We start from the raw sequence: 21,492 nt of genomic DNA on the forward strand, positions 1-21,492 counted from the left end.
GGGGGAAGTACTCACTGGGGGAGTTAGCCAAGGGCCATCAGGGCCACATGTCCTGACAGCAAAGAGATGGGACCTGCCACACAAGCCAGCTCCAAAGACCGCTGGGCCATCTGCAGTGGGCAGTTCAGTGCTGGGGACATCACAGCATCACTGCACATAATCAGTGATAATGACACCCACATTGCAGGTATTTCTCTTATTTAAGGAGGCCAAGACACAGGGTGCACATGTTAGAAATTTTCCATATAAAAAAGCAAGGGGCTGAAAGGAGTGCACCCCTCTCAACAGGAAGACTTGATCGTCTGGAAGAACTCAGGTGCTGACAGGTTCTGGAAGGACGAACTTCATTTACACCTGGACACAGCCACGTGGACACAGACAGACTTTTGTCTTATAGATGGAAGTTGTCCCTCAAAATCTACTACCTCGTAGCTTCTCCTGCAGACAGATTTGGGCCATTTAGGAGAAATTTTAAGTATTCCAGAAAAATAGAAACCCTGAAAAATGTTTGCATTGTGCAATAATTGCATTTTAAAAACAGCTTTATTGAGATGTGATTCACACGCAAACAATGCACCCCATTAAAACGTACAATTCAGTGGTTTTCAGCCACAGACTTGTGCAACCATCACAATAAATTTTAGTACATTTTTATCACTGAAAAAAGAAACCACACACCTATTAGTACTCACTCCGCACTCTCCCCATGTCCCCCTGCCCCCAGCCACTGCAACCACCAACCCACTTTCTGTCTCTGTGGATTTGCCTAGTCTGGAAATTCAAATGAATGGATTCAGACAGCCCATGACCTTTTGTGACTGGCTCCTTCCACTCAGTCCCGTGGTTCCCAGGTTCGCCCACTTTGTGGCCTGTGCCGCTACCTCACTCGTTCTTATGGCTGAGTAATATTGTGTCGTATGGAGGGGCCACATTGTGCTTATCCATCCATCCACTGATGGGCATTTGGGCTGTTTCTGCTTTTTGATGTTATGAATCATGCTGCTATGAATGTGTATTTTCAAGCTTTTGTGAAGACGTAAGTTTCTATTTCTCTTGGGGACTTCCTTGAAAATGGAACTGCTGGGTCATGGGACTCCTGCTTTCCATTTCGAGGAACTGCTGGACTATTTTCCATAGTGGCTGCACCATGTCACCTCCCCACCAGCAGTGTCTGGCAGGTCCCCATTTCTCCACATCATCACCGACGCTTGGCATGGTCCTAGCTGTGTTTTGGTCTCCTTCGCCTGCCTGTGTTTGTGATGAATGCTTGATCCTTCATACGTGTCATCTTCCGGTTTCAGATAAATCTGGGTGTCCTCTTAGATGTTTCAGTTTCAATAATAATGAGGGAGAAAATTCAAAATTAAACAACCAAAGAACATTGTAAATTTTCGTTCCTGTCCCCAGACACCTCCCAGCAGGCTTCAGGGATGAGAGGTTGGTCAGGGTGCAGGTGACTAACGTTCTCAGTCATGGAAGAGCGCACAGTGTGCAAGGCTGAACGTGGCCTGCTTCCACGATATTTGTGTCTACAAGTTGGCATTTGCAATGCAGTCATATTTTTCAGGGCTCCATGAGCTTACCCCTTAAAGCTCAAGGATTTTACAGCCATCTCTCCCTGTGTCCCTGTTTCTGCAGGGATCCTGGTAGTAGCCCTCCTTGATCTGAGCCTCGCTTCCCAGCTGACTCCATCCTCCACTTATAATCTTGCTGGAGAACATACCAAGGCCACGTACATTCACAGCAAGAGCGGCTCAGCCTGTGAGAGTTGGTAAAGGAAAGGGGTCCCTGCCGCGTGGCCCCCAAGACTGCCTTTGCCAGGTGTGTTCTCACAGAGCTGTGTTTCAAAGGCAGCATGCTGTCACCTGGGGACAGGTGTTTTTTTAGTCCCACGGTAGACACCTTATAAAGGCCCAAGGGCTCCTGAGCACTGGGAACACTGTCTTTGGTGGGCACTGCTCAGCTTTGGATCATGGTCCTGGCTCTGTAGTCTGACTGGGTGACCCTTTCCAAGGACGGGGCAGTGATGAAACCTCTCTCAAGGGGAAATCAGACACCAGTGTCTGGCATGTGACCTCCCCGTGATGCTGGCAGCATCCTCCCTCCTCCAACCCAGTGCTGCCCCGCTGGAGACTCCACGCCACAGCGTCAGGCCGTGCGGGGGCGACCCACTGTCCTGGATTGCCAGGGCTGCCGAGGGGGCTCTTCTTGTTGCCACTGAAAGCACCACATCCCAGAAAGAATCTTGGTCCCCTGCAAACCGGGATGGTCACCGGGTCACCTACAGACTTGGCAGCACCCACAGTCCAGGCCCCTCTGATGGCCTTGGGTTCCTCCTGCTCCTTCCCCTAGGAGGTCAGGAACGTGGGGCATGGAGCATCTCGGGGAGTCAGCTGGGGGAGGGATTCTTCCCGTCCGGTTGAGGAGGCCATTTCGGTGATGCCAGTGATGGCCACTCATCTTCTCAGGCTTGCGAATGCGTTTCCTCGTGCCTGGTTTGCTTAGACAGTGGTGCGCCTCCGGCTTGCAAGCCTCCAGCCTGAGGGCAGCTCTGCCATGTCTTCTTGCTACTCTGAGAAAGAAGCAAACACTGGGTTCTGGGTTTCGCCCAGTGAGGGGACAGCTCCAGTTCTGGGGTCCAGACGGCTGCTTTGCCTTCCAGTGTTGTGGGCTGCGTGACTTTGGCAGCTTAGTGCCTCAGTTTCCTCTCCCAACGTGGTCATGATAGTGGTCCCCGGGTAATGCAATGTAATGTAATTCGCCATGATGGTGCCCGGCTATCGGGGCCCTGGTGCGTGCCGGTGAGAGATGTGTGGGTGCCCTGCCTCTGGGATCTGGAGTCCGCCAGGCCCGGTGAACCCGACATTCCCTATGAGCTTAATTTTTCCCTGGCTCCTCCTTGGGAAAGGATGAGCAGCCCTAGCCCCTGGTATCCCCCAGTTCCTGTCCCTGTGGACCCAGCTCCTCACTCATTCCATCCCAGGTTTCCGACCCAAGGATGGATAGAAACTGAGGGCACCGGACCTTCTGCCCTCCCTCCCTTGTCCCTCCTCTGTTCCTAGTTTCTGTTCTGAGGGGGCTCTGCTTCCCGTCCTGCAGGCAGGGCTCCCAGGGTGCACCTCCTCTGGGCACAGCAGCCCCTGGCTTTCTGGGAACACTAATGGTGGAGGGGTCATGGGGAAAGAAACCTGATTCCGTCGTCAGGCGATATTCCCTGGTGCACTGAGGAGAAATTCTTCCCGGGATGCGAGACCTGAGCCTGTCCTTCCCTCCTGCTCCCGGTCAGGCCATGGGGCCTGAACACACTGCTCCATATGTGGGGAGCATTTCCAAGGCTTCATAGAGTTCTCAGCCCAGACAAGCACATGCCAGCTCTGTGGCACTGGACAATGCTCCTAACCTCTCTGTGCTCATTTCTCATCTGTAAAACACCAGAGAGATGGAATGAGGAGGCTGCTACAGGGCTGGCCAAGTGCTTGACCTGGAGAAGGTGCTGGAGCGGGGTAAGCTGAGCTGTCCTTGTCCTGGTTGTTTTCATATTCTGACACTTCCCGCATCCCTGCAGGACCAGCTCACCTTGGGAAAGGGGCCGAGACTTGAACACATGACTGTGACTCCAGAGGCCAGGGCTGCCCTGGGCTAGGAGCAGAGGGCTACAGCCACTGTCAGAGGGAGGACCTGAGAAAGGGAAGGGTGGGGGCCAGGGAGGGGACCCAGGGAGGAGGAGCGTGGCCCCCTTGAGGGAGTCCTTGAGGGAATCAACCACGGATTCTCTGAAAAGCCCCAGAGCAGCCTCTCCCCATGGCCAGCTCCAGGTTCACACAGGGGCCAGGCACACCCGCCCCATGCGAGCCTGACCCACAGTGAGAGGCCGCTTGGTGCCGAGCCTTACCCAGTGGGCATGCCTTCCTGGGTGCAGCACAGACACTTTATTGTAATCTTTTTCCCCAGTAGAATCCAAATTTTAAAACAAAAAGTCAACATGTGGCCACATACACACATCCCTGTCAGGTTGAGACAGGCCACGCCCTTCCTACCTCCACCTCCTCACCTGTACGATGGGTATCATGGTGGCAGCCACCTCCACAGCGGCTGCAGCTGTTAATGGAGATGACACCTGCCCGGCACACTCTGGGGCCCAAAGGCCGGATGCCTGCAGTGTGCACACACCTTTCCCCTCCCTCAGCCTTGGGAGTCGAGTGCCCCCCACCCATCTTCCTAAAGCGACCCGGTCACCGCCCCTGAAGCGCCCTCCCTCTGCTGAGCCCGGTGACCCTGAGCCGTCTTTCAACGGAAACCGTAGTCCCTGTGCCTCCTCTGAGCTCTGGCCCTGTTTCTGGCATCACAACCCACAGGGGCCCTCGGAGCTGCTGAGGGGTCTCAGCCAAGCTCCACTTGGGGAGGTTGGGCTCCCCAGGGACACAGCATCCGTGCCTGGGGAGAGAATGTTTGACCGAGCCGGGTTACTTGGTCCCCAAGTCCCTCCACCTGCCAAACCAGCAAGCACGTCTCAACCAGGGCCTCCTCTGGCCTCCACGCTACCTCTCCAGGCCTTCCTCCTCTGCCAACTCTTCATTTGGCCTCAGATGACATGGCCCTGGCGTGGAGTGTCCCTGTGTAGGAATATGTGTTTGCATGTATGGGTGTGTATGTGCATGCATGTCTGTGTGTGTGTATGTGTATGTGCATGTGTGTGCTGGTGTGGATTGTGCATATGTGTGCACATATAAGTGTGTGTGCATGTGTGGGCATGCGTGTGTGTGAGACATGTGGGCATGTGTGGGCACGTGTGCATGCATGTGAGTGTGCGTGTGTGTCTGTGAGACGTGTGGGTGTGTGTAGGCATGTGTGTGCGTGTGTGCGTGCGTATGTGTGTGTGTGTGTGAGCGCCAGCATGGTTGGTGGTGGTGGCAGGATGCAGGGAGTCCTCAGCTGAACCCGGCCCCAGGACTTCCCAGCTTCAGGGGTGCCTGTTGCCTGTGAGAGCAGTGAGGTGGGGAAGGGTTAACCCGCCGAGGGCTGATGGCCCAAGCTCTGTCCTGAGACGGAGCCGTCGCTTCCCACTAATAGAAACCAGAGCTCTCCTGCAGTGGCCGCGGCGCTGCCGCCACTCCGAGGCCGGGTCTTTGTTGTTGTTCCCGGTGGGCCTCGGCTCACTCTTTTGCCTTCTTTCACTTTTGGAAACAACCAGGACGAGCCAAGGCCAGAGTTGGGGAGAGGTTCTTGGGTGGGATCTTATTTCTTCCCAAAGTGCCTGGAAACCTGCCCGTGCATTGGTGCCCGCTCTGTCCTGTGCCCTCTGCTCCGAGGCACCAATCTGGCCCCGCCATGAAGCCCAGACCCAGCAGGCAAATCTCAGGGTAGCCTGGAGCTGCAGTAGGAGAAAGAGAAGAAATGATGAAGAATCCCCACAGGCCCAAAACCAGCCAGCGTGGTACGACTTTGCCATCATTTAATCCTTGGCCTGACCTAATCAACAGGGAAACCGAGGCACAGAGAGGCTCAGGAGCTCACCCAAGTGACACAGCCAGAAAAGGCGAGAGCTGGGTGAGCCCAGTTCTGCCCGACCCCGAAGGCACCCCCAAAGCTGATTTCACACCCAGGAGAGTGATCTGGGGTCCATCTGCCTCCTTCCCCAAGGAAGCTTGGGTTCGACATCTTTCTCAGAAGGCCCCAGATCTGAGACAGCCCTGCCTCCCAGATAGACCCAGAAGGCCAGATGCTCAGCCCACCCCACCCTGGGTCCAGAGGGGCTGCAAAGCTGCCAGTGCCTCACAGTCGCTCTACAGCTTTGCAGGTCAGCTCCCGGGGCCCCCGTCCAGAGTTCCAGACCAGCAGCATCCAGCCAGGTGCTCAGGGAGCCCCAAGAAAGCTGCTTGAGAAGGCTCTGGAGTGTCCAGCCCAGGAGTGCGGCTCATGGGCAGACTGTAGGGTTCACATCGCAGCCCGGCTGCTCCCCCATGCGACACCCTGCTCTCTGATCCTGACTCCCCCACCTTCCCACGTGTGAAATGGGATGTGCTGCTGGGTTTAAATGAGATCTGACTCCAAAGCACAGAGCTCGGCCTGGCCCATCTCGGGCCCTCAGTGGACATCCATGGCGCCGTCAGCATCCTCGCCCCACTGGGTTATTCCCACGCTCATCCTCTGAGGAGGAGCAGCCCAGCACTCAGCGGCCTGCAGGCTGGCGGGGTTGGTAGCAGCAGCCTCTCACTGGGCCGGTGACATGAGGATCACTGGGACAGGCACGGGTGTGGTGGGACCACAGGGCCCCGAGGGCAGCAGGCAGCCCCCAGCCTCCTCCGAGGTCTGTCCTGGAGGCTGGCCGCCCACCCGCCGGCTGCACCTCACAGCCGCTCCTCCCCAGCCTGCTGGTGTCTGACGTTGGCATCCCCTCTGTGGGATACATCAGGAGCCCATCCGGATCCGGGGCCGGCAGGTGGGGTTCCCGGGATGGGTTGGGAGTTCCCAGAAGTCCGGTGAGGGGCTTTCGGAAAGGGACCGTGCACCCTCCTGTGCAGAACCCGGCCTCGGCCAAGCTGCAGGCTCTGACGCTGGAATTGAAACTTACACAAATACTCCGCCGCTTTTCAGGCATGTTCCAAGGAGACATTTATGTTGGCTGAGGCGGTATTTTCCTTTTATTGCTGTTATGAGATTCAACATTTTTTCCAGAAATAACTTCTGAAAAGTGTGCCTAGATTTTGAACACTTGTGATCCTAACATGTGGTGAGAAAGGCTTTTCAAAACACACACGTGTGGACAGAGGTCCACACACGGATACGTGTGCACACACGGGTGCCTTGGGCGTGCGTCTTCCAAAAGGGGCGAGTACAGCTATCAACTTGTGACTTCCAGGAGGCCTGGGTTTGCCTACGAAGGGGCCGTGTTCCCAGTTGGCGTTCACACGTGGTGTACACACACAGGCACAGGCACCGTGTCCCAAGGCCATCTCCCAAGGGCACCCGCAGACACTGGGCAGCCTTCTCCGAAGCTGTCAGTGTCCTTCCTCGTGAGAGGATGATGAAGAGGATGTGGTTTCCGCCGCCTCATCCACAGGCCGGCTGCCCACGGAGCCTTAGACATCGAGGCCAGAGCGACTGTTGGAAAGGAATGTGACCGCGCTGTCTATGAAATGCCGCGGAGCTGGAGCCCCACTCGCCGTCACGATGAGTCAGCGCCGAGCGGTGAGTCAGAAGGGGAGAGCTGAGCTCCCAGACCGGAGGGCGGCACTTACCAGAAGCCTGTGTGCTGACCGGCCTGGTCTCCTTTGACGTCTCGAGCAGCTTGGCAGGGTGGGAAAAGTAGCCTGAGAGTGATCCCCGGGCAGTGTCCGAGGCTCTGCCGTCCCCACCCCCACAGGCATCCAGGGGAGAGAAACAACCTGGAAAGAGGAATTCAGATGTGAATGGAAACTTGTATCCAAAATTTGAAATAGTCCCTTTGGGCCTGCTCAAGAGTCCTTCCCTCCCAGCCCCTCACCTGCGCCTGCGAGGCCGTGCGGACCCCGCTCCACTCACCCCGCCTGGGGGCCAGAACCACCTCCCAGGGGCTTCCGCCAGTGCCGCAGTTGCTGACCCCAGGCAAACCTCGCCGCCTCCTGCCCCGGCGGGCCTGGGATTTGCGAATGTGTGAAGGCATTAGCTGCCAGTTGTAACTGGAACGCAGCCTAGAGGCCTCACTCCTCCAGCAGGAAGCCTTGTAGTGCAGCGAATCTGGACCCGGCCCAGCGTCCAGAGACAGGAAGCATTAATAGGAGCGAATGTGAACACTGTTCGCGCCCTGGCTGCGATTTATTGCCGATTGTGGGGAAAACATCAGTTGGTTGCAGAGTTTCATTCATCTGAATATGAAATGTAATTAGGGAGTCACCCAGTGTCAGACCCCAAGGAATAAGGTCCAGGCATGGGACCCTCGCCCCCGAATGCCGTCCTTCCCCACCGGGGGGGGGGGCGGGAACATAAAATGGACCCAAGTCACTGTCCCTTAAGGAGCGGACCGCCTGAGCCCTGGAGTGGCCCAGGGAGTCCTGAGTGCAGGGTTTCCAGGACCGTGACAAGGTTCTCCCACGTGGTGGGGGAGGACCGACCTTTAGGGACAGGACCGGTGTGTCTGGGTGGCAGTTTAGAGAGCTGGGACAGTCTGCATCACTCTGGGTGGCTCCTCTCAACCCTGGTGTGCCCTAGACTGTTTCTGAAATCGGTCCTGGAAAGGAGAGGGAGAGAGAGATGGTGTCTCTGTACCGAATCGGAAGGATTTGTTTTTGTGTAGCTAATGAGGTAGCAAAGACAGTCTGCAGGTCAGAGGAAGGCCACGATGAGGATGGGGACAAGGAGAGCTCCTGAAACCCTCCCACCTTACAAAGTCCCCCAGCCTCCCCACATAGTTATCCTGCTCCATCCAGGAGCAAACTTCATCTGCCAAATGTGTGTGAGCGTTCTCTCTCTCTCTCCTCTCTCTCCCCCCCTCCCTCCTTCTCTGTGTCAATGAAGGAAGGCTGGGGGTTTTTGTGTGTTGTTGTTGTTTCCCCTAATCGCCTTCGCCCCCGTAGCCAGTTTGTTCTCAGAAAAGTTCCTCCCCCTCCTCCTCATCTCCTGAGCTCTTTGATCTTCTAGTTCGGGTTCAGTTGCTTCGTTTTTTGCAATTACCAGCCTGGAGGGAGGATGCCCCTGACCCGCAGTCTGGCAGACAGATGGGACAGGAAACGGGGAGTTTATTTCAGCCTTCGCCCTATTCATCTTGGATAGATTACAACAGTAGCAGCTCCAAATGTCTTCATAGCCCATTTATGATAAAGTGATGGTAACATCACACAGGAAGAGAAATGTGCGGATTAGCCATATCCGGGGAAAGATGGATCGACTGAGAGCATGGCATCGCTCTGAACAAAGCCCCACCCTCCCTCCCCAGCCCCTGGGAAAGCCCCGCTCCTCGAAGGCCAGTGGGACCCAGAAACCCAACTGGGAGAGCAGCGAGACACTTGCTACCGCCTCTCTCTCTTTCTCCTCCTTTCTCCCCCGCTTCACTCCGTGTCTCCCCCTGCTTCCCTCCCACCCTCCCTCTCCCTCTCCCTCTCCCTACATTCTTTGCCTTTCCAAGTTTTTGAACGTCTACAGCGCAACTCCACAGCAGCCCAAATAAATCAAGCTGCCATGGTTACTTTGCAGAAGGCTGGGGGATTTATATTTGAATTTCAGGAAGAGGGGCAAATCCATCACCCTGGAATGCCGCATCTATAGATTTTAAAGTTTGCCTGAATTATTATTGGGAGGGGTGGGGGCTGGCAGTGAAAGGAGAGTTTGGAATCAAACCAAGGAGGGCCGGGTAGGAAGAGCTTCTTGCTGAAGGACATGGGCACATTTATAAGCCATCAATAAGAACCATTAAGACCTGCGGCTTTCTCTTTGTTCTTTCTGAGAGGAAACACTTGACAAGTTGTTGTTCTTTGTTGTACTTTTTTAATGAGCCAAGAGAACATGGCACAGCCTGGAGAGGAGGGGCCTGAGCGCTTTTGTCTTTTACATTTTTCATCTTTTTACTTTACATGAAAACTGACAAGAAACCCCTCCATGAAGGAAAGCCGATCTACCCAGGCTGGTTTCAAAGAGCTCCAATTTAGAGCATCCCCGGCGACTTCATTTCTAATCATGTTTTTACTTTGCTGGCCACCAATCGGAGACTCCCACAGGTCACTCTGGTTTGTATTGATTAGAGCCGGGCTCCGAGGTGAGGGGCCCGGGATGAATGAGGTGGGGGTGGCAAAGAGATGCGTTGCCCGAGTGGCGGTGGCCCTGCCTGCGGAAGGTATCTCAGGATTTGAATGACATCTCAGGGGACAGTATCAGGCTTCCAAATTCCTTTCATCCATCAGATGAGAGAACAAGCTGTGGCTTTCAGTTGGACAGGGGCTGGGCCTTTCTCCCGGAGTAAATGGGCTCAGGCCACACAGATAAAGAGCTTCTCCTGTTCCTTTTTAAACGTTTCAGGCAGGAATCGTCTGTCACTGACTGAGGGCGGGTGGGGGCGGGAGGGACCTTTCAGCTCTGATTAAAGTGGCAAGTCCAGGGCCACAGCGGAGCTCTGGAAAGTCTTCCCCATCCTTCTCTCCCGAGTCACTTACCAGGTTTACCTACACTGTGGGGGTAGGGGTGGGGGTGGGGGTGGGGGTGGGGTTGCCTTGCCTTCTGGAGGAAACCTGCCTTTTCATTTCTTAAGGCAGGATCTCGTCTAGCCTGCAAAAGCTACGGGACCCCCGGTCTCAGTTGCACACCCATCCAGCTTCCAGGGAAGAATGGGCACTTATGAAGTGCCAATGGTATACACTAAGTACTGGGAGGGATTCAGGACAGGGAGGACCTGGGAAGAGAACCTGAGTGGAAAACATAGCCGAGAAGACAGGACCTGTGTAGCCAAGAATCAGTGGCACAGAGTAACCAGGAAACATTGATACAGGGTAGACAGGAAACAGCGACACAGTGGAGCCAGGAAACAGTGACACAGGGTAGGCAGAAAACAGTGACACAGTGACACAGGGTAGACAGGAAACAGTGACACAGGGTAGACAGGAAACAGTGACATAGTGGAGCCAGGAAACAGTGACACGGTGTAGGCAGGAAACAGTGACTGCAGTGACACAGGGTAGACAGGAAACATTGACATGGTGTAACCAGGAAACAGTGACACAGGGTAGACAGGAAACAGTGACACAAAATAGGCAGGAAACAGTGACACAGTGGAGCCAGGAAGTAATGATACAATGTAGCCAGGAAGCCGATCAGAGTGTAGCTAAGAAGCATTGACAGGAGGTCGCCAGAAAACATTGACACAGTATAGCCAGGTTTCAGTGTCACAGGGTGGCCAGGAAGCAGTGACATGGGGTAGCCAGGAAGCAGTATCAGGGTAAGCAAGAAGCAGGGACTCAGTGTAGCCAGAAAACATTGACACAGTGTAGCCAAGAAGCAATGACATACGTAATGACAGCGCCCTACGTGGTCTCGAGGTTGTCCACAGACGCGCCCATCATCTGCTGTGGTTGGACAGTGTGACCAGTGTGAGGATGATTTCTTTCTTGCCGCTTGGTACGAGGGATGTTTGCATCTTTGCTGTCTGCTCCTATGACCTAAACAAGGGACCTTGGAGACCTTACTGTCTCTTACCTGGGAGAAGTGACAGGGAGGAGATGAGGGCAAGGACATTCCCAGCTGGGCCCTCACCGAGGCTGCAGCGAGCCCCAGCTGACAAGGACGGACTAACGAGTATGCCTTCTGTCCAGCAGCCGCTGCACGATGCTGGCTTCCTCACTAAGCAGGAGTGCGGGCGTGCCGTCAGGGTCCTGGTGTCCGGCATGAGGCCGTCGGAAGTCTCCAGGTCTGGGGATCTTTGGGTTTCTAGCAGCGCCCTCCTTCCATCCAGACCCCACTCCCTCTCAGTGCCTGACTTCTGAAAGCAAAGCCATCACGTGGGCCGGATCCCTCCTGCCTCTTGGCTCCGCCCGGGCCTCTGAGCGGCCCTGGCCTCCAGACACAACCGCTCCTGGGAAGCCGTCTGAGGGCAGCCATTGGGCGTGCGTGGGTGCCCCAGCCCGGAGCCTGCCCATGAGTGTCCCCTCCTCCTCCGGACACCACCAGCGCCGTGAGGATGCACATTTCTTATAGGATTACTCCCTTTTAATAGAGACCCAGAAAAGTTTCCAAAGGCAAAATGACAGGCTGGTTAACTTCATATCCCAACTCCAAAAAGATACATTTTCCTCTTTGTAATGCACTAGTTAGTGGTTACTGGCACATTACATTAACTAATTTGAGATCGAATTATCAAATTTGCTCATTGCTGCTAGCGCTAATTTGAAACCTCACAATAAAGAAGGGTTTGAGAGGCACATGAAAGGAAGCCACCCACGGCGGCTCCGAGGCCTGTCCCCGGAGCATCACAGCGAGCCTCGCAAAGGGTTCGGGGTAATTGCAGTCATGAGCCGGAGTTGATTGAAGAAAATTATACCCCAGTTTTTTACTGCAAGTTTTTTTTTGTGTGGCTTTCCTTAAATTGTGTGGTGAAATTCAATGACAAGGGAAGACACGTATAGGACTTTTAATAACTGTATTAAGAAGGTCTTCCGAGCTCCTTTCTGCTGTGTCCCATCGGGTTCTTAACCTACAGCTCCCTCCAACTTGTGACGATTCTTGAGGAGTTTGGGTGGTGTTGGTTGTTTTTCTTTTTTAAGAAAATTGTGATCTGGTTCAAATTCGCTTTTTTCCATGTCATTTCTGTTGTTATTCTTATTCTTCTACAATTTAAACCAGAAAATGTGGGAAAGGAAGCCTCAACACATCCTATCATCTGTTGATTGATTATCAATTGATTATTTTTCTACCATCTATTGATTGTTGATTATCTATCAATTGATTATCCATCTATCAATTAGCTATCTATTGATCATCTATCAGTCGATTGATCATCTATCACTCATCTGTCTATGTATCTATCAATTATCTATCTGTCTAATTTATTTTCCAACATGAGACACTGCTGTGTCCTTGTCAGACAAACCCTCATGACCTTTGAACTTTCCCTAAGGTAGCAAATCTCAGCAACCACATTTCCAAATTGCAAGTCACAGAAATGAACTTATCCCCCCAGCATCATCTGGATGACTAAGGCATGCCAAAAAGGAGGGCTTTTCCCCCTGCCTATTGAAAGATTTGTAACAATAAAAAGTAATAAAAACGCCAAAGGAGTTGAGCTTGCTGCCAGGACTCTCCCCACTTTCCTAGGAAAAGCGCAACTGTGAGTGTAAAATAAAGGCCCCTGAGCTCTGTAATTAATTCATTTACATTTTTAATGCTGCAAATGGCTACAAACATGGCGTGACATTTAGAGTGACATCCAGAAACTCCAGCCCAGTGAGTCCTGCTCAGACTGTCTGTGCAGGGGTTGTTGCTGAGTCAGGAGGAGAATTTTTTTTCAGAACCCAGGGAGCAAAAACACTTTTCAGAGGTCGTCTGGCATGAGTGGGGACTGCTGAGGCTGGAGGTCCAGCCAGCTCCAAAGGGTACAGCCCAGGGCTCCCTGCTGCCCGGCAGGGATGGGGAGCTAGGAGAGGGCTTTGATGTGAGGGATCATTGGGTCTAAAGTATGGGATCCTCCTCTCCCTTCTGAAGGTCAAGGGAGAGATTAGGAGCTGGCACCAAGGCTCAACATTGGAAGGGCAAAAAGGTCACTGTTTTATTCTGACGTCCTTGGGTATTTATTCCAAAATGTTTGGCCTTCTCCACCATGAGCGGGTCAGTGTTTGGGGCAGGGGGGCAGATATGCAGGGTGATGGGGAACATGCCTTGCCTCCTGGTCCGGTAGAGCTGAGAGAGAAGCCTGAGGCCATCAGACCAGGCTGGGGGCCAGGGGATTGAGAGGGGAGAGGCCCTCCCAGGCTGAGGCTGTGGATCAATATCTCACCAGTGGCCCCTGGCTTCAGGGATGGAAGGAGAGCGTGGAGGCGTCAGGCGCTCCTCTCTCCTCTAATCTACCCCTTTGCTGGCTGCTTGGGGAAATCGAAGCCTAGGGGTCCACTAACTTCCCCAGAAGGCTCAGCCCAGGTCTGCTGGCCTCCAATCTGGGGCTCTTTCCTCTGTGCCACCCAGCCACCCACACAGCCCTGGAAGCCATTGTTCACCAGCAGGTAGGCGCTCCTCCCATGGCTTTAGCCGGCTTCCCCAAAGAGTTTTGGTGCCTTTTCTGCCCATACTTGCAGGTAGTTAGACAAGCCAGGACCAGCCATGTTGGGCAAATTGGCCTTCCAGCCTCTGGGGCTCACAGCTGTGTCCCAGGGACGACTATTGTCATAGTCAGCCAGCCATTGGCTACACATGGTGGGTGACTCTGAAGAGAGCATTCCCTAGAAAACAGTGCCTGGGCCTGGTGGCCACACCTACCAGGTGTGGCCTCTTGAAGAGACTTACTTCCTTGTTCCTGGATATAGAACCGGGCAGGGTGTACACCTACGCCTGCCCTCTACTGTTTGTTAGCTGTATTGCAGCACCGAAATAAGAACACACATGTGCCAAATTATAAGACACACACAGTGGGCTGTGACAGGAAAAGAGACTGATGTCTGTGAAGGACCAAACCCTACAGGTTCCTAGGAATTTCACTGTGACGCATTGGGATTTTCATGGTCCAACTCAAGAGTAGATGTGTGTGTGTGTGCGTGTGTGTGTATGCACACGTGCACACACTGGTGTGAACATGCAGGTGTATGTGAGTGAGAATGTGGGGCTTGGTCTCTGCAAAGGCTGTGTGCCCAGGGTTGCCTCCCAGGTGCAGTCACAGGCAGCAGGTGGGGTGAAGGGCCTGTGTGCTGGCTGCCTCCCGGGTTCTTGGAGAACAGATCATTTCCCAGGTGACCCAGGTCACTGTTATTATCGTCTCAGGGCACAAAGTCTGCATCTGTCCCCCGGACACAGAGAGGGGCAGAGAGGAGGAATCAACAATGTGGACCTGCCTATTTAAGGAAAACTCTCACGCTGTTGGAAAGCCCAGTGCCTTCCTGCTGAACCCACCCCCTTGGCCCCGCACAAAGGTCCTCCTGAGATAAGGCCAAGTTCTTTGATCTCCATCGATCTCCAGGCAGAGGTGACTCAGAGGCCCTGCTCACACAGCCCAGCTGCTGCTGTGGCAGGAAGAGCTTCTGAGCTACACCTGCTCAGCTGGGGCTCCAGCCAAGTCCTCTGAGAGGAGCCTGGCTAGCTCAGGTCCTGGGGAGGATGGTGGTTTTGAGGGAGGGGGCTGGCACGCCCTCCCTGCCCACTTGATCCAGCCCCCAGCCAGGCACATGGCTGTCCCAAGCACCCGAGGGAGACGAAACGCGTGCCCTTCCTCATGGAGCCTGACTCGTGTCCTCTGCGAGGGATAGAGCCTGGACACTGTGGTTTGCCCTCATCACTTACCATGGGAGCTGCGTGGGTGTGATTTGTGCAAGACCAGGGGACTTTCACAAAGGAAGAGGAACAGAGGGATCGGAGAAGTTGGGAGAGGGGAATCTGAGGTGTGTGTGGAAGCTCCCTCAGAGATAACTTAACCCCGGGTGGGCTGATGGGGGAGCATGTGTGCACACACGCGTGGGGGTAAATATGCATGTGAATATTTATGTGTATGTGAGTGTGGCAGTACACATATGTGAGTGTGTCCATTTGTGTGTGGGTCCGTGTGTGTGTGTACATTTGTGTGTGGGTCTGTGTGTGACTATGTGCATTTGTGTGTGGGTCTCTGTGAGTGTGTGCATTTGTGAGTGTATGCATTTGTGTGTGGGTGCACATGTGTTTGTGTTTGTGGGGGGCACATGTGTGAAGGGTACATATGTGTGTTTGTGGGCATGCATGAGCCTGTATATTTGTGTGGGGGTGCATGTGTGTGTGTATGTACGTTTGTGTGTGAGTGCAAATGTGTGTGAGAGTGTTTGGAGGTCACGTTTCTGGGGGGTTGCACATGTATGTGAGGCCACACATATGTGTATGTATGTGTGATTGTGATGTGCCCAATGTGTGGGTGCACGTGTGTGTGTGGGTGCACGTGTGTGTGCTTTGTGTGGGTGTACATGTGTATGTGTGACGTACATGTGTGCGGTGTGCACAATGTGTGTTTGTGTATGTGTGCACGTGTGTGCTGTGCAAGTGTGCGTGCGTGTGTGTAGGTGCACATGTGTACATGTGTGCATTTGTGTGTGGGTCCGTGTGTGAGTGTGTGCATTTGTGTGTGGGTGCATATATGTGTTTGTGTTTGTAGGAGCACGTGTGTAAAGGGCACACATATGCGTGTATGTTTGGCATGCATGTATGTACATGAGACTGTATATTTGTGTGGGGGTGCATGTGTGTGTGAGTGCGTACGTTTGTGTGTGAGTGCAGATGTGTGTGAGAGTGTTTGGAGGTCGTGTGTGTGTGGGGAGTGCACGTGTGTGAGGCTGCACATATGTGTGCGGCTCTGTGTGATTGTGATATGCACAATGTGTGGGTGAACATGTTTGTGTGTGAGTGCACTGTGTGTGTGTGCTGTGCACACTGTGTGTGTGAGAGTGGGTGTGCACGTGTGTGTGTGAGCATGTGCACGTGTGTGTGTGGGTGGCAGTGGTTTTCTGTCAAAGCCGAGTGTATAGCAGTGGCCTGGGAGCTCAGAGCGAGGGGAAACAGGCCCGGAATAAACGGGCTGTTGATTGACTCGAGTTACATCATTTTCTTCCCCTCCGGAGCCTATAAATCTCACGCTCCTTGTAAAAACAGAATTTAAAAACAATTGAGCCTCCTGGGCCCCTCAGTTCCAGCTCCAGCTCCTGGGCCTCGGGAATGAACCAGTGAGTGCACCCCGGCTGGGGCTCTCACTCTCCCTAAGACCCAGGACCCCCACCCACCCCCACTCTGAGGCCAGTGGCGGAGAGGCCACCACTGTCTCAGGAGCTTCGTCCCTGCACGTCCGGTCTCCTCCCAGACCTGCGGCACCCAGTGTGGTGTAGGCCAGTGCCTGGCAGCCTCCAGTCCACAGGCCATGCTGGGGTCCTTAGAGCTGCTTCTCCCCCAGATGGCCACCCTTTAACGAGGCGCAGCGACCCGTCACCTAGAAATCCACATCCTTTGCTCCCTGCCCATCACTGTGCCTCTGCCACCAGCACCTCCTCAGTGCTCAGGACGCACCACCCTGTTCGTGCCCCAGGATGGGGACAGGGAGGGCAGTGGTGTCTTCTTTTCAGCAGGGGTTCATGGCCTTCTTACCTTTCTACCTTCTGGATGTGGTTCAGTGGACTGGGGCTCCCTGTGATCCGGCCTCTTCTAATCACGCTCTGGTCACTCTCTAGGCCCCAGTGCCCAGCAGGTCGATGTGGGTCCCTTTGGTCCTGGGCAGCCACCGGCTCTCTGGCCCGTGCTTCTGCGACACCCGAGCACAGAGCAGCCCGTTTCATGTTGCCTTTGTGCCTGTCGCTAGTGTACTGTGTGCACTTGGTGCGGGAAGCCATACGCTATTGTCACCTTTTCAAACGGGGTTTCAAAAGGGTCTCAGGACTTAGCCCTTGGGAATGGCAGGATCCACCCCACCCGTACCCTCAGGTCTCACCGGTACAGGTGGGGGCAGCCACGAGGTGGGGCAGGACACAGCGTTGCCATCACCAAGACGACGGTGAGAGTCCGACCTCCTGGGCTTGGAACAGCTTGGACAAACACCAGAGCACTCAGCCTGCACCACGTGGGGCGGGCGGCATTTGCAGTCTCACCTCCGCAGTGTGTGCCGCCAGAAGCGATGAGCGGAAGCTGTTCCAGGCGCCAACAGAAGCTGCCTGGCCCCTGCCTCAGGAAAGCGTCTTCCTCCCACAGCAGGCGTGGACGGCTCTCCTGGAAAGCCCAGGGAGGCCGGGGAGACAGCGGAGGGAGGAGGAAGTCCGTGAGGATCAGGGGCCCCGCCAGCTGCCGCCAGTGCCTGCTGGGTCCCAGGCCAGGGAACCCCCAGCTCCCGCCTGGAAACCCACGTGTGCAGTCATAAAAAGCACCGACAAAGGCGAGGGCCGGTGCTGGGAGCGGCCGCACTTCCCCGCAGGCCTGGCTTCCTTTAATCCTGAGCAGTAAAAGCTGCAAGGTCTCACATCCCAGAACCTCATAACAAAGAGGGCTTTTCCCCGAGTATTTACAACTCCTGGCCGTGGCCTGTGACAATGTGACGGCTTATGTAATGATGTCAAAGAGGCCTGTTCAGCTTAGAGACCCCCCAGGGGCTCCCCCGGCTCTGCACGGGCCTCATCTCCTTACTCCACCAACATTGCGGGCAGCGGACGGGGCTGGTGAAGGGGTTGCTGCTGAGGCACCAGGAGAAGCTTCAACTTTGGGAAAAGGAAAGAAAGAGCTTGCAGGGGTGGGGGCTGCCACCCTCCCTCCGTCTGGGTTGGGAGGAGGATCTACCAGCAGCAGGGCCAGCCCCTCCTGGACACTCCTGCCAGCCAGAGGAGAGAGTCCTGGTGTAGCCTTGATGCCGCCAAGAGGGAGCATGGGGCCTCCAGGGGTCTCCGTCTCTCCCTCCGTCTCTCCCCAGCCACTCTACAAAGTGGGTGCGGAGCAGGACTCCCACAGTGGGGCCTGGGGCACTAGGAGCCCCAAGGAGGGGGCTCCGCCTGCAGGGTCGCCCCCAGCCTGCCGGGCTCACTCTCCTCCTCTCTGAGGCCACCTTTGCCACCCTGCCCCGCCTGCCAGTCCTGGCCATCTTGACAGGCCCTCAAAAGACTTCCTAAACCCTATAGCCACTCCCAGACAATCTCTCCACACTCCCCGCGATGCTCCTGGCTGGGCTCAGGGTCCTCGGACACAGACCTGGCAGCTCACTCGCTCATGCCCTCATTCCTGGCCAAAAGACTGTACCTGACATGAAGCCTCATTCACAGGGACGGAAGCCAGCAGGTTCCCCTGTGACAACATCCGAACAGCCGAGCGACCTGGCACCCTCCCTGGATGCTGGCCTCTGAACTGGATGCATGGCCCCCACCCAAGCACTGAGGCCCTGGCATGATCCTGCGGGCACAGGCAGGCTCCGACTCCATGGGGTCAGGATCTAAAGCACAGATGTCCCCCCTGATTCCGTCGTCACCCCCCCTTGATTCCGTCATCACCCCCCTACCTGCCCAGCCTTGGTTCTCAAACTCGGCGAGTGAGCAGATCAGCTGTGGGACTCGGCGGGTCGTGGGCAGCACATCTGACCCTCCCTTGTGCTGATGTGACACAGAACCCTGCCCTGGGCCAGAGTCCCTGAGGGTCCAGGCCAGCGGACGCCCCTGGTGGTGCTGGAGAAAATACTGATGTCCTGGGGGGAGGATGCACGCGAGGGGCTGAGCAGAGCTCTGGTCACCTGGTAGCGCACAGTTTCTGGCCCCTACATGTGGCCTCTGAACTCCGCCAACCACCTCTCCCCCAGCCCAGAGCTGGCTCAGCCTCTTCCAGGCCCCACTGCCTCTTTAATTACTGAAAATGCGTCCTTTGGAGGGGTGACCCCCAAACCCCCAGGTCCTTCTGAGGGACACAGGGAGTGTCCCCAAGGAAATCTCTCATGCCTGTGAGCTGCAGCCCCTCTTCTAATGAGCAGCCTGCCAGGGAGGAGTGACTTGGGTAAGCTGCTCAGCTGGGGTAGGTGGCCGGGCTCCCAGGAGGTGTTAGCCGGCCCCAGGGTACGCACAGCTGCAGAGAGCCAGCTCAGGCCTGAGCATCAGCTCTCTCTGGGAGATGAACGCAGGGGATGCCCTTCCTGGGAATGGACCGAGTCCTTGTGGCAGAGGCTGAGGGCTGGCCATGCCCCCAGAGTAGAGGCACACACAAGTCCCACTAGATGGTCCCACCTGAAGCCCTGACCACCGGCCAGATGGGTGTCCCAGCAGGGGTGCCCTGGGCGGCTCTCAGGGACTGTGTTTATTTCCTGGAGCTGCTGTAACAAAGTACCAGAAACTAGGTGGCTTCAAACCACACACTGTGTGCTCTCACAGTTCTACAGACCCGAAGCCTGAGATCCAGGGGAGGTCAGGGTTGGCTCCTTCTGAGGCTCTGAGGGAGACTCTGTCCCCAGCCTCTCCAGGTCTGGTGTTGCTGGCCATCCTTGGCCCTCCTTGGACTTCCTTGGCGATTCTCAGTGATCCTCTACCATCCTTGGCGATCCTTGGCCATCCTTGGTCCTCTTTGGCCATCTTTGATGATCCTTGGCCCTCCTTGGCCTTCCTTAGCGGTTCTCAGTGAGCCATGACCATTCTTGGCCATCCTTGGCCCTCTTGGCCCTCCTTGGCCCTCCTCGGCCCTCTTGGCCCTCCTTGGCCATCCTCGACGATCCTTGGTCCTCCTTGGCCATCCTCGACCATCCTTGGCCCCCCTTGGCCATCCTCGACCATCCTTGGCCCTCCTTGGCCATCCTCGGCCCTCTTGGCCCCCCTTGGCCATCCTCGACCATCCTTGGCCCCCCTTGGCCATCCTCGACCATCCTTGGCCCTCGTTGGCCATCCTCGACCATCCTTGGCCCTCGTTGGCCATCCTCGACCATCCTTGGCCCTCCTTGGCCATCCTCGACCATCCTTGGCCCTCCTTGGCCATTCTTGGCTTCTAGACACATCACCTCCATCCCCGCCTCTGTCTTCACATGAGCACTTCCCTGTGTGTCTTCTTATAAAGACACCCTACTTCCTTGTTCAGAGCCCATCCTGATTCCATGTGACCTTATGTCAATTAATTTGCATCTGCAAAGATGCTTTTTCCAGAAAAGATCACCTTTTAGGTTCTGTGAGGGCATGAATTTTAGGAGGAGCATGATTCAGCTTGCTGCAGGGGCCATGGTCAGCCCTAGGAAGGGCTTGTGTTTGAGGATGCCAGACTTGGTGGGAGCTGACCCTGGAATCCGACCTGGCCTGGAGGTCAACCAAGGGTGATGGCAGAGGTGACCCATCCCCTCCCCTTTGGCACCTCAGGATGACCGCCCGCACCCAGCCCTATGCCCATTTTCATGAGTGCACCACCTCCCTGAGGGCTGATTAGAGGAGCGGGGAACAGGGCCTCCATCTGGAGGAAGGAGGTCTCGAAGCAGTGGCCACCACAGGCAGTGGCTTTCAGGCCTCTGGCAGTCGTCTCTCTGGAGCGTTCTGGCTCCCAAGCCCCCCACCAGCCGCCGCGTGGCCTGACAGCAGGGGGAGGCCGCTTTGTCTCAGGGTCAGGAACAGAGAAGGTGGGCTCCTGCCCCCACTGGGCCATGCTCAGCCTCACTAGGCACAATGTCTCCTCTGTCTCTGAGGGAAAATCCCTCTACAGGAATCAGCTTTCAGGCCCCGCCTGGCTGTGAGGGCCCCCAGACGCCTGCCCTGGGAGGAGCCCACGCACAGGGCCTGGAGCGGGGCTGGGTGGACCTCAGACCCTGAACACCTCTGGGAGCTCCTCGGTCAGCCCAGCCTGCAGGCAAGGCGAGGAGGCCCCAGGCTCTTCAAAACTAACATTGGGAAGTGGAAACACTTTTTGTGTCTGAGACTGCATCTTTTTTTATTCTGAATTGTCACTTGGCAGGGCACCCCCTCAAGACCTTCTCTGGTGGCCTTTTAAGACTCTGGAGACAAAATAGCCCAAATCCAGGTGTGGCCGCCCCATGCAGAACTCTGCCTGTGAGGTCTTTGCTGGAGGAGGCGGCACCACAGGCCGGCTGGAGAGGCTGTTTCCAAGGAGAAGCCTGGAGCTCTGCAGCAGCCCTCGGGGGGTCCTGCCCCCTCTGCCTCCCTTAGATGTGGACACCCAGTCCCAACAGCCCCTCAGCCCCCGCCCTGCCCTCCCAGGCCCACCCAGAGGCGTTGTCTTTCAACGCTCATCCCACGGTCAGGACCAACAACGGCGGCGGCCCCGGGCAGGGATTCTGTTGCCCGGCAGAAAGTTATTTGACCCCAGCACTGATCTGGTTACTGATGCAGAGCGTATCAGCCGCTGCACATGGCTGCCGCCCATGACATCTGGGCCAGA

At 55.6% G+C, this 21,492-nt stretch overlaps 1 protein-coding gene and 1 long non-coding RNA gene across 4 annotated transcripts in view, besides 7 other annotated features; one reads left to right on the forward strand and one right to left on the reverse strand.

Moving 5' to 3' along the window:
• The window catches only part of PRDM16 (PR/SET domain 16), a 369,419-nt gene that overhangs the window by 236,926 nt on the left and 111,001 nt on the right, over positions 1-21,492 (forward strand). The window lies entirely within an intron of this gene.
• On the reverse strand, positions 525-17,369 carry LOC105378604 (uncharacterized). Of its 2 annotated transcripts, NR_188664.1 has the most exons (3): positions 16,756-17,369; positions 7,239-7,385; positions 525-7,101 (listed from the first exon to the last, which is right to left on the reverse strand). It is a non-coding gene; the product is annotated as an uncharacterized LOC105378604 (long non-coding RNA). The 2 variants fall into 2 exon arrangements; NR_188665.1 differs by lacking the exon at positions 16,756-17,369 and adding an exon at positions 7,522-7,676 and having other exon boundaries at positions 525-7,385.
• Positions 6,570-7,769: an enhancer, noted in NCBI's record as "CDK7 strongly-dependent group 2 enhancer chr1:3229262-3230461 (GRCh37/hg19 assembly coordinates)". NCBI's record gives its function as "activates an origin of replication core promoter dependent on BRD2, BRD4, P300/CBP, MED14 and CDK7 cofactors, with strong dependence on CDK7, by STARR-seq in HCT116 cells {active_cell/tissue: HCT116}" and the evidence as "EXISTENCE:reporter gene assay evidence [ECO:0000049][PMID:35650434]".
• Positions 7,057-7,351: an enhancer, noted in NCBI's record as "tiled region #11957; HepG2 Activating DNase unmatched - State 9:DNaseU, and K562 Activating DNase matched - State 4:PromP". NCBI's record gives its function as "activates a minimal TATA promoter and a strong SV40 promoter by Sharpr-MPRA in HepG2 and K562 cells {active_cell/tissue: HepG2 | K562}" and the evidence as "EXISTENCE:reporter gene assay evidence [ECO:0000049][PMID:27701403]".
• Positions 7,108-7,157: an enhancer, noted in NCBI's record as "active region_58". NCBI's record gives its function as "activates an Ori minimal core promoter by ATAC-STARR-seq in GM12878 lymphoblastoid cells {active_cell/tissue: GM12878}" and the evidence as "EXISTENCE:reporter gene assay evidence [ECO:0000049][PMID:35858748]".
• Positions 9,107-9,666: an enhancer, noted in NCBI's record as "OCT4-NANOG-H3K4me1 hESC enhancer chr1:3231799-3232358 (GRCh37/hg19 assembly coordinates)". NCBI's record gives its function as "activates a minimal SCP1, AML or CMV promoter by ChIP-STARR-seq in naive H9 embryonic stem cells {active_cell/tissue: H9 hESC(naive)}" and the evidence as "EXISTENCE:reporter gene assay evidence [ECO:0000049][PMID:30033119]".
• Positions 13,003-13,504: an enhancer, noted in NCBI's record as "H3K4me1 hESC enhancer chr1:3235695-3236196 (GRCh37/hg19 assembly coordinates)". NCBI's record gives its function as "activates a minimal SCP1, AML or CMV promoter by ChIP-STARR-seq in naive H9 embryonic stem cells {active_cell/tissue: H9 hESC(naive)}" and the evidence as "EXISTENCE:reporter gene assay evidence [ECO:0000049][PMID:30033119]".
• Positions 13,505-14,004: an enhancer, noted in NCBI's record as "H3K4me1 hESC enhancer chr1:3236197-3236696 (GRCh37/hg19 assembly coordinates)". NCBI's record gives its function as "activates a minimal SCP1, AML or CMV promoter by ChIP-STARR-seq in naive H9 embryonic stem cells {active_cell/tissue: H9 hESC(naive)}" and the evidence as "EXISTENCE:reporter gene assay evidence [ECO:0000049][PMID:30033119]".
• Positions 14,705-15,323: an enhancer, noted in NCBI's record as "H3K4me1 hESC enhancer chr1:3237397-3238015 (GRCh37/hg19 assembly coordinates)". NCBI's record gives its function as "activates a minimal SCP1, AML or CMV promoter by ChIP-STARR-seq in primed H9 embryonic stem cells {active_cell/tissue: H9 hESC(primed)}" and the evidence as "EXISTENCE:reporter gene assay evidence [ECO:0000049][PMID:30033119]".

This window comes from Homo sapiens, chromosome 1 (assembly GCF_000001405.40).
Source record: "Homo sapiens chromosome 1, GRCh38.p14 Primary Assembly".
NCBI lineage: Eukaryota > Metazoa > Chordata > Mammalia > Primates > Hominidae > Homo > Homo sapiens.